Source organism: Homo sapiens, chromosome 7 (genome assembly GCF_000001405.40).
Source record: "Homo sapiens chromosome 7, GRCh38.p14 Primary Assembly".
NCBI lineage: Eukaryota > Metazoa > Chordata > Mammalia > Primates > Hominidae > Homo > Homo sapiens.
The window spans coordinates 34,925,181-34,937,330 of NC_000007.14; the positions used below are offsets into that span (position 1 = coordinate 34,925,181).

A 12,150-nucleotide genomic window follows, 5' to 3' on the forward strand; every position below is an offset into this window, starting at 1 on the left:
CACTTGTTGGGTGCAGTTCTACATATGACTGTTAAATCAAGTTGCTTTTATTACTCAAATCATGCATTTCCTTACTGATTTTTGCTTATTATCTCAATTTCTAAGGAGAGGTATATTAAAATTTCCTGCTGTGATTGTTTCTTTGTCTATTTCTCGTTTCTAATTACTATCCTAAAAGCCATATTCTTTTAAAAGAAACTGATGTTCAAGAAACATGCCCTATTTCACTAAGATTGTAAAGGATGGATTATGGATTCCAGCGTAGTTGGTCTCTATTATGACAATATTAATTGTGCAACTGTTGTCATCTGTTTTCCCTAATATCTACACCCAATAATAACACACCAGTACCTTCCCATCCTTTGGAAAATCCCTCTTCCCAGACTTTTAATCAAATTACCAGAGTTCCTTGCTCCCTGTTCAGCAGCAAATGTGTCTATGGCTGGTCACCACAGTATCCTGAGCCACACACTGAAATCAGGTCAATGAGTCCCGCCCCTGGACAGATGTATGTGTCTTTATCATATTGCCTTCCAATAAATTCATATGGTCACTAGCCATGTCTGAAAGTACCTACCAAGGATATGCTATGAGGTTAATTATTGTTTAGCTGTTTGACAAGGATATTTTCCCCTACGATATTTATCTCATCTGATGATGTTGTCCTGAATTTCCTTGTTATTTCTTCTCCATGGCTGGAGAACATAAACTGTCTTTTAGTCCTAAAAACTTTTATTGCCATCTGGAATTTACTGCATTGTTGAATAAAGTATGGTTTATTTCAAAAAATCATTAAGCAGTACTACTTTCCAGGAACTGTGCTAGAAGGCACTGTGGATTCAGAATGGAGTAAGACATGTTCTTTTTATGAAGAACACAATAGAGTGGGGGAAAAGTCATGTTGATAAATGTGTGCATGGGGGTTATAGGCACGTGGGCAGTGGGAGGCAATGCACTCAACCAAATGGCAGGCAGTCAGGAAAGGCCTTACAGAGGAGATGACATTTGAGTTGCATCTGAAATACATACTAAGAAAAGCATATTCCAGGAGGGGCAAAAAGCATCTGCAGAGAAGACACATTATTCCTCACACATTAAATTTTCAAAGTGATTTTTATTCTTTTTCTTTTTGCTGCTATATTCCCATTTCTTCTTCATATTCTAATCAGGGCTTACAAATACGTGGCACCTGCACTGCCACTCTCCCCCTTTGCCCTGCCATTGGCAGCATCCATAACTGAAGACAGAATTCTTTCCTAAAGAGTCTACTCAACACTAGGTGCCATGATTAGAAATAATGTAGAAATTAATAATCACGATTAATAAAGTGTACATGATAGACACTTGCTTACCATTCCTTCTTTGACTGGATGGAGACGTGGAAACCTTGTTATTCAGAGGTGAAGTAGGGAGGGCAAGTTCTAAAATTGTTAGCCCTAGGGCACTAGAATTACTGGGGATTAAAAAAAAATTCCAAATCTCAGGCCACACATCTCTAAGGGTGGGAAAAAGGCTTCAGGATTTTTTGAAGCTCCCCAAGTAATTCCAATGTGCAGAGAAGTTTGAGAATTACGGCCATAGAAGTCTTTGTTCAAAAAGGTCAAATTCGTTACCCATGTAAAGGGCTCGAGGGATTACCAAATTGTACTCTTCTGGGAAGAGAATTTTCCAGAGCAAGAGGGAGGCCTCTGAATCTGAAGTCTGGTCACTAAGCGGATACCAGAGTGAAGACCTGAGGAGCCTGGCAAAGACCAGGATATCAGCAGCAGGGGGCAGAGCCAGAGGTGGCCTGCAGGCATCTTTCTTTCCCAGTTTTCATGACATGATCCCAAATCTACTTAGCAGTGGCCATTTCTTATTTTCATATCTATTTTTTCAGAAATGTATAAGGACTAAGGGTGTCAGAGTAATCAGCATAACAACCAAACGAGCTGAAGTCTGCAAAATTCAACTCCCCCTGCCTAGATATTAAATTTGCCTACAGGAAAAAAGCCCACCAGGTACTTAAAAAAATTAATGAAATGATATTATGCTGCATTTAAAAGAACATGCCTATGAAGCAGAATACCATGTAGTGCTACCATTTATTTGAAAGTCATTTTGACAACACTGTGCATACTTAGAGTTTTGGGTTAAAGATAATTGTGTATAGAAAACTATAGAAAACATTGCTTTGAAAGTGAAGCCAGTATCAATGTTATCCTAATCTCTTTGCCAAAAAAAAAGAAAACTATCTCTTAATTACACTACAATCAAATCGAGTCTTCAACTCTTATATGCTCATTCAGAATTTTAAAATCTCTCTCACGGGAGGAAATGTAAAAGGAAAGTTTTCAAGACCTTTTTGTACCTTAATATCCTTTTCAACTTCTAATGTAAAACGTATTTGTCCTGATACAATGCTGTGAAATAAAGACCACATCAGGAATGTAATGAAGTTTAAAAGTAGCTCCTTTTTTGCACTGAGAACAATTTTATTGATTCAAATTAGAAACTTCTAACTGGGGGCAGGAGAAAAAGGAGGAAGAAGAGAGAAGCAAGCAATCTGTGACCTAGCGCTGATTATTGGCTGACCTCTAATAAAGGAAGAAGATTCGGATTTCTGGTGCCAAAACGAAAGTAATAAAGTGGAAAATGAATTTTTGCAATCCCCACACATCACTGAATTTATCTATTGTCTTCTAGGCAAAGTAATCCTACAAAAGGAAGTTCTATTTCAAGGATTTTCACTCCTTTTCCATCTCTGAACTGAAAAGAAACAAGGGGCAGTTTGCAGCTTCAAAATATTTAAATAACCTATAACTCATATCAGTGTTCCAATTAAAAATTACCTAATCTGTTCTTTGCTCCTTGCAAGTTTCATTGAAGCAGTGCCCTTAACAGGCAAAGAAGGTACGTGGTAAAATTCAGCTCCCGGTAGAGTGTCCATCAACCAGCTCTGGCGGGATGTGCTGTCAGGAATGGAGCGCCCCCTGGAGGCCAGTCATCCAGCCAGTCTGTTCCCATCGATTAGAGCAGAGGCTCTCAAGTATGGTCCCTGGACCAACAGCATCAACACCACCTGAGAACTGTTAAGAAATCCAAGTTCTGGGGCCCCACCATAGGCCAACTGAAACAGAAACCTCTGTGGTGGGGCCCAGCAAACTACAGGCCTTGCAGGTGATGCTGATGCCTGCTAATTTTGAGAACCACTGTATTAGAACACCTCACTCCCCAAAGATGTCAGAATCAAGGTGTCATTGTGTTAAGAAATTATACAGGAATGAACAGAGCTGAAATGTCTTTCCTACATAGAGAAAGAACCAAGAGTTGATGTTTGTATCAAGTAAACACATTGAGTTACAATTTAGAAAATGTTGATACCAATGTATGTTTTAAATACATTAAAACAGCTTTTAGCAACCCTTTAATTATTCCCAATATATAGTTTGAATGAATTACTGTGTCCCTTGATGAAAAGGATAAAAAAGGAATGTAAGTGACTCTACCACAAATACAGGAAAAGTTTGGATAACCTCAGTACCTACCACTACCAACAACAAGACCAAAGAGTCTACCCCCACTGTTTATGATCCCTCCCTCTCTTCTCAGGACTGCCATCTGACTCAAACCAGTTCATGGCTATCTGACTACAAAACGAGGCTGAACTTGATCACAATCAAGGTGAAAATGAAAATAACAATCAAGAAAAACACTTCCCTCATTACTCATGATTTTTTTTAATTTAACATATATAGTACATGTAAACAACTGGCATAAAATTCATAAAAATACAATACTCCTATGCAATATCACTTTATTCCTGATACATACTTTCATTTTCTCATTAATATCACTGGCCTATTTTAACACTATATTTTTTTTGCCAAGCATTTTTAGAGGCTTATCTTTTTAAAGAAATACAGCCCCAACTTTGTTTTCGAAAATGTTGTAGCAATAGCTATTTTGATCGCTTCTTTGCCCATCCTTACTTTCCTCATACTAAAGCAAAAATATTTGTAAATGCTAACAATATGCAAAACACTGAGCTTTAATACTGTTTTGTACGCCTATGGAACCTGCTACCAATCTGCATTGCCATCAAAGGTGTGGATGCTCCACAGTGCTTGGGCTGCGAGCTGTGGCCACGGCTGCATAGCAGGGACCTTCAGGCCTCTGCTCCAAACTGGCTCCCCTAATATATAGCCATATTTTGCTGGGGGTTACATTCATAAACACTGCTACAAAAGGATCCTTCTGGAAAAAGCTAATTTATATTACTTTTAATGGTTCCCAGCAAATGAAGCAGTTATAATAGTATTTTTAATGCTTTTTTCCTATACAGAATTTCTACTTATTACATGTGAACTTCTTTGGAAGGAAATTACTGGGGGTGAGAAAAATATAAAATAAATGTAAAAGTATAATTTTTAAAAATTGTAACTGCTGGATGTACACAATCAGCCACACTCAGGTGAGCAACAATCACAGATAAGCAGCGCGCACCTCCCTCTCCCTGCTCATGTCAACTCCCATCCTCAGCCTCAAGTGTCCACCGCCCATTTTCCTGGACTGTTGTGCATCATCGCTCAAATGTTGCTTTTAATCCACAAATCAAGGGCTGCTTCCCTATTTTCTAAAACTAGCAAAAGCCTAAGAAATAAAAACAGTCAACCAGCAAATGAGAAACAGTGGCCACAAATCTGAAGAACGCTGCCAGAGTCCCTCTCCTGGGCTGCCTCCAGGGAAGGAGCATCCCTGGGAGCTGCGGCTCTAGGCGCTGGCACAAGACTGGGGGGCGGTGCTTCTCTGAGGGCACACTCCTCAGCCTTTGCAGCTGACTTATGTCAGCAAGCTGCTGCTTCCCCGGGACCAGGCCTGCCCTTGGGCTCTGGTAAGAAGGTAGAAAGGGAACAGCGGCTTCCAGGAGTGGGCACCAGAAACCATGCCTGAGGACTAAGGTCTGAAGGACAATCCACAATGAGGTTAATCTGCCTGTGGTTAAGAAAGAGAAGCTGTATAATTAAATGTGTAGTCTGTCAGCCATAGTCACGCTTTGCTTAGAATTTAAAACCCTAAAACCTTTTCTCAGAGCTATGAGGTTTCATCGTTTTGAAGAATCTCATTTCACACAAATTAACTTCTAAGAAACAAAAATTCATACAAGGAATTCAAAGAAGGTGTAGAAATTTTTCAAAATAAAAATAAATAGGAAGAAAAAAACTAAAGAGGAGGACGAAATATACTTATTCCTTATACTGAAATGATGGTTTTTAGAACCAAAATTATAACATAAGGCTTAAGGCTTTGTCTTATTAAAGACAGGCAATCTTAAAAGTAAAATATAAAAACTCCATTTATCATTATTCTTTACATTTTTGACAGCAAAATTAGTCATGTTTTATTGTATCTTAATAGTAAAAGAAAAATTACCATGTACTACAGTCTACTGTTCCACTATAAATGATGTCTAATCAAATATACATTAGTTTCTAGATGCACTATATTTGGGGTTGTTCAAAATAGTTTTTCTTAAAACTATAATTAAACATGAAAAAACTTTAAAGTGGTTTAAAGGTATTAAAATATAAACATTTGAATAATGCTAAAAATGAGAAAAATACAGTTACCATTAATTTTTTTTAAAACCAAGAATAAGTACTTGATAAGCAACTAAATGAGTAAACAGTACTTATTTGACAGAAAATATGGGGAAGAGGAGAAGAGAGAGAGCAAGAGAGAGAGAGAAAGAGACACGATAATGCCATATGGCTGGAAGTTAAGGGAATTTCCTAACCACAAGGTCCAAGAGTTTGGATTAATAATGGGCAGGAAAAGCTTCATTAACAAGAGAACAGAGAACAAAAAGCGCACAAGGAAGTAAAACAAACAGATAGTTCTATATAGCAAACACTCCATGTCTGCCCCATCTACTGTAACTCAAGTTGATGACAGGGGCTGACATGACCGAAGAACTTACAATCACTGAAATGTCCAAAAGACAAGAGCAAGAGGCAGAAAAAAGAAGCAAGGGGCATTAATAGTTCTTACACTATAAAATCAGCCCCTACATTGTCAGAATTGTCCTGTATTTTCATGTCATCCTTGTCACAACCCACTGTGTTTTCTTTATACAGGTAGCTTTGCTCACTTTAGCACAAATATTAAAGTCAAGTACAAGCATATACTCATTTGCATAGCAAATTTTAAAGGGTGCATTGAAATAGTAACCAATTGATAAAGGTGTAAGTCATTTTTATAATTAGAATGACATTCAAATTGACCAAATAAAACGTTTTCTATTTGAAAACAGTTACCTATAAAAGTTTTTGGGATATGAACAACACATGACTTAGCAAAACATTAAAACCATTACAGATGTAGTTCTCCGTAGGCAGCAGGTCATGTAGCAGTCATTCTTTTACAACTTCTAGGACTTTGTAAACACTGTTCTGGAATACAGTGGTGAAGTGAGGTTTGGAATCCTTCACCAAGAGGTTACATAAGGGAGTTTTCCCAGCATTGGCAGGATCTTCTACATCCCAAATTTCAGGCATACTGCAACCAGGCCTAGAAAAATGAATGTACATGTTAAAAATCAATATGCATTATATAACTGCAGAGAAAGCAGAGCACTTCTTACATTCCTGACCTCAATTCCTTTTTTCCCCTTAAATTACTTTAGTTTTTAAACAATCCTGTTACATAGCTATTTATGTTTTTATAAGCTGCCATGACTCACCTTAGGACAAGGTCAATGCAGCAAAGGTGACTATAAGGAAAGAAACAGACCTGTAGATACATATATCCAGGTGTTGCGGAAAGAGACACCTCAGTTAAACTCTGCCTCAGCTACTTATCAAGAATGTGGTTCTGGGCAGGTAGCTTCCCTTGGTCTTAGTTTTCACATTTGTAAAATGGGGAAATAAACAACCATGACATAGGTTTGTTGTGAGGATTATGAGAGACCAGGTATCTAGCACCATTCACACAGAAAAACGTATGACATTGATTTAAAAAATTATAATGAACAAATATGCTTAGTTCACAGGGAAGCTGCATTAATTGTATAGATGCTCCTCAACTTACAATGGGGTATGTTCCAATAAACCCATCATAAGTTGAAAATGCATTTAATACACCTAATCTACCCAACATCACGGCTTAGCCTAGCCTACCTTAAACATGCTAGGAACACTTATATTAGCTTACAGTTGGACAAAATCATCAAATACAAATGCTATTTTACAACAAAACATTGAATATCTCATGTAATTTATTGAATGCTGTACTGACACTGAAAAACAGAATGGTTGTATGGGTATTTGAAATATGCTTTCTACTGAATGCATATGGCTTTAACACTGTCATAAAGTAAAAAAATCAGTAGGTCAAAACATCTTAAATTGGACAGTCGATATTCTAGAATGAATCAATTTAAAGAAATTCTGGTAGTGTTGAGCATACATCTTAAACACATAATTAAATCTCAAAAGCAACATATCTTTATAAATTGGCATATGACATTTGCCTAAATAAGTCCTTCAAAATAACAGTACCATTTATCTTAAATCAAGAACAGTTTTATGGATATAACTGTTGGATGCTGCTATCTACCTTTTGAGGAATTTTAAAAAACAGAAAAACATGGGAAAATTATAGAGAATTGACAACTGCTCATGTTTGTCATAATTGCATCCCTTTTTATTTTTAAATAAGAGAAAAAAATTCCCAAGTCCCTCTTATGTTTAGTAGCAGTCCCTCCCTCACTCTCCACCATGAGGCAAACACCGTAGCAGGTATGTACATCATTTTCCCTTTTTAAATAACACCTTTAATTTATAATAATCAGTCATTATAAAAGTATCAAAATATAGACCTACATACATTTTAAGAAATGAAAGTCACCATCATCTCCAATAGCATTTCTCAGAGGTGACTTCTATAAACAATCCAGCATATATCCTGCTGGACCTTTTTAAAAAAAAAAAAATTATTTCAATAGCTTTTGGGAAACAAGTGGTTTTTGGTTACACGGATAAGTTATTCAGTGGCAGTTACTGAGATTTTGGTGCACCCACCACCAGAGCAGTGTAAAGTGTACCCAATGTGTAGTCTTTTATCCCTCACCCCACTCCTCGCTTCCCGAGTCCACAGTCCGTACCATTATTATGCTTCGCATCCTGGTAGCTTAGTTCCCACTTATAAGTGAGAACATACAATATTTGCTATCTGCTGTATCTTTCTCCAATGTCAGACACACATACAGACACAGATATCATTATATACATAGATGCTGTGATGGTCAGTATTGAGTGTCAACTTGATTGGATTGAAGGATCAAAGTATTGTTTCTGGGTGTGTCTGTGAGGGTGTTGCCAAGGGAGATTAATGTTTGAGTCAGTGGACTGGGAGAGGTTGACCCACCCTCAATCTGTGTGGGTACCATCTAATCAGCTGCCAGCATGGCTAGAATAAAAGCAGGCAAAAGAATTGTGGAAGGACTAGACTGGCTGAGTCTTCTGGCCTCCATCTTTCTCCTGTGCTGGATGTTTCCTGCCCTTGAACATCAGACTCCAAGTTCTTCAGTTTTTGGACTCTTGGGTCTACACCAGTGGTTTGCCAGGGGACCTTGGGCCTTCAGCCACAGATTGAAGGCTGCACTGTCAGCTTCCCTACTTTTGAAGTTTTGGGACTCAGACTGGCTTCTTTGTTCCTCAGCTTGCAGATGGCCTATTGTGGGGCCTCACCTTGTGATCGTGTGAGTCAGTACTCCTTAATAAACTCCATTTCATATATACATCTATCCTTTTTTTATTTTTGAGATGGCGTTTCCCTCTGTCGCCCAGGCTGGAGTGCAGTGGTGTGATCTCGGCTCACTGCAAGCTCCACCTCCCAGGTTCACGTCATTCTCCTGCCTCTGCCTCCTGAGTAGCTGGGATTACAGGTGCCCACCACCACGCCCAGCTAAGTTTTTGTATTTTTAGTAGACATAAGGTTTCACCGTGTTAGCCAAGATGGTCTCGATCTCCTGACCTCATGATCTGCCCATCTCAGCCTCCCAAAGTGCTGGGATTACAGGCGTGACCCACCGCGCCCGGCCACATCTATCCTATTAGTTCTGTCCCTCTGGAAAACCCTGGCAGATGCTCTTGAGTTGTTTTTACAAAAATGGAATTATTCTGGGACTGTATACTGAACAATAAAACGTGGAACCATTTTTCCATCTCAGTGCATAAAGATCTATTCTACTGTTTTTAAAAGCTGCTAGTTCTCATATGTACTATTTAACCAATTCTTTACAGACAGATACTTTAATTGTTTCCCATTTTGCCATTATAAAGCAATGCAGCTACAAACAGTCTTGTGCAGAGCTCCCTTCTGCAAACTAAACCTCTAGAGCAGCGGTCCCCGGTCTTTTTGGCACCAGGGACTGGTTTCCTGCAAGACAATTTTTCCATGGGCTGGAGGGTGGGGGCGATGGTTTTGGGATGAAATTGTTTCACCTCAGATCATCAGGCATTAGATTCTCATAAGGAGCACGTACCCTAGATCCCCCGCATGTGCAGTTCACAATAGGGTTCATACTCCTATGAGAATCTAATGCTGCCACTCATCTGACAGGAGCCAGAGCTCAGGCTGTAATGCTTGTTCACCCTCCGCTCACCTCCTGCTGTGAGACTGGGTTCCTAACAGGCCACAGACCAGTACTGGTCCATGGCCGGGGGCTTGGAGACCCCTGCTCTAGAGGCAACATTATCACTCTGCCAAAGGACTGCACAATTTTTTTCTTACCTTCCCTTCATCAAACTATCCCCTAGAAATGTTTTGCCAGTGAGTGTTCCCATGAAGAGGGCTCAAGTGCACACTTTTTGCACACCTTTGCTGACACTGGTTTCTACTCACATGGAACACCTATGATCATATGGCTGGGCATGGGTTTTCTACCTTGTAATTTTCTCATACACGTCAAGGCTGAACTGTTACAACACTGAGGGCCCACGGTGGCAGAGAGTGAGACACACAGAAAGTAGAGAACGACCCACAGTTTTCCTGAGTTCAACAGCTTTTAGGAAAAAGAGAGGGCAAACAGCTGTCTTGGGGAGCTCTGTTTGCCTTGTGCAACACTATTTAGTCCTCATCTGAGTTTCCCAAGGTTTCCCCAGGCCAGCCATCTGCAAATAGCATTAGTGAAAATCTGAATAATTTCCTTCTAAATACATGTATTCTATGTCAACTCTATTATTGGAGTAAAAGAAAGCAGAGAACTGTAGTTAATTTAAAACTAATCTACAACTTGCATGCAAATATATTTGAGTGTTTATATTTAAACACAGTGTCAAATATTTAAGGAATAATCAAGCCATACAATTAAGCCACTTGTAAATGAGATCATTTAAACATAGTGCTCACCAATTGCCAGGCACAGATTAAGCACTAGATAAATATTGGTCCCTCTTCCCCTTCCTCTCCTAACTGAGTTCCCCATCTGCTTCCCCCATTCCAACATACTTTCACGTCCCAGCAATCTACAGGGGTTTCAGGCTGATCATAACTGAAATGGAGAGTGAAGGCCAAGGAAATAAGGAAGGTCCCAAACCAGGCAGAAAGCTTTGTCAAGAAACTTCCTACTCTAAATGTAAACACTAGATAAATATTAGTCATTCTTCACTTTCCTCTCCTATCTGAACTCCCCATTTGCTTCCCTGTCAGGACAGAAAGCACAGCTTTTGTTTTGTGTCAAGGTTGAAGCAGAGTGGACCTGTCCAAGGTTTCCTGACAGTGTGTCATCAGCCTGGCTTAGATCTTGTACTAGATGGAGAGTGTTGTTTTAATGAGTGGGGAAAACAGATGAGAGAGTCACTTTCGTAGCTTCCTCCCACTCAACTCCTGCTGTGACAGACACAATAAATGGCAAGTCAAGGTCCAGATGGGGAAATCCAGCACACCCTCTTCTGCACCCCAACTCTCAGTCTGATTGCTCGTAAGTGACTTGAAGTCAGTTCAATGTCTGCTGATTTTGTTTAGTGTGCAAAGTTTATTGCCATACATCCTGAATTTGCCTTCATATCCCTTCTTGTGTGGGTAAAACAGTGCTCTGCCTACCCAAACATGAGACTGTTAGAGCTATGCAAATCCAGGGAGCTCTCCCAACACTCTACAGCACAAAGCCTCTGCAACTTTCACATATTCAAACTCTATGCAGGGGTCTAGGCAGAATATGAACTCTCAAAGGCTCATTGTTAGCTTGGAGAAAAAAGGTTACGAAAATTATTTTTATGTTCCAGTAACTTACAGTTGTTTCAAGAGAGTGAAGCCCAAAGAAATAAAGAAGATCCCCATTCTGGTAGAAAGCTATGCTAAGAACTGAGTTCTTCCTATTGCAAATGTCAGCCTATCATTCATTTCATATAATTTCCTAAGATCGTCATGAGATGCTTAGAACTTTTCTGTCCTAAATTTATATAACAATGTTAAAGGTGAGTATGTGAATTTCATATACATATTCACAAACGCTTAAAACATTTTCTGAATTATTACAAAATAACATTTTCTATAAATCCTGACTGAATTCAAACCACGTAGCACACGTTCATAGGAGAATCATTCTATAATCAACAATTATTTTAGTTTCCTTGTGAGCAAAGCTGTAGATACTATGTCACAGAACTATTTTTCACTCACGACTCAGTATTTAACAATGTTGTCTTAATACCATATGTGTCATTGAAATATATGGTGGGAAAGTGTGATCAAGCCACAAATATAGCAATCTCTTGAACGCTTTTGTTTAGTTACAGAATAGTAAGAATTTAAAAAATATTATTATTCCATAAAATAGTGTTTATTTCTGATAAAATTGTTCCTGTACTGTGCTCTTCATGAAGTGAATGTTTTGGTACTTTAAAAGCAGGCTACTGTCACCTGGTGTCCAGTCACTTACGTGCCACATTTCTAGATAGCTTTAGATTCACATCTGCTTTGAAGATCTTACTGTCACTTGGAGCTATACTCAGCTTAGTAAACATCTCTGTGGAAATAGAAACTTAAAAACTATAAACCCAAGAGAAAGTGGGTCACAGTAGAGTCATTTTCCCATTCAAGTAAGATGTGAAACACCAGGAAAGAAAAATTTCATTCTGAGTTTTTGCTGACAGGGTATCCCATCCA

At 38.8% G+C, this 12,150-nt stretch overlaps 1 protein-coding gene across 3 annotated transcripts in view; it reads right to left on the reverse strand.

Annotated features, from left to right (window-relative positions):
- Nucleotides 1-3,700: 3,700 nt before the first annotated feature.
- The window catches only part of DPY19L1 (dpy-19 like C-mannosyltransferase 1), a 109,161-nt gene continuing 100,711 nt past the window's right edge, over nt 3,701-12,150 (reverse strand). For all 3 annotated transcript variants that reach the window (NM_015283.2, XM_011515246.4, NM_001366673.1), the window contains one exon: nt 3,701-6,549. In NM_015283.2, coding sequence (NP_056098.1) covers nt 6,393-6,549 — 157 coding nt within the window. In that variant the 3' untranslated portion in view covers nt 3,701-6,392. The remainder of the gene's footprint in view (nt 6,550-12,150) is intronic.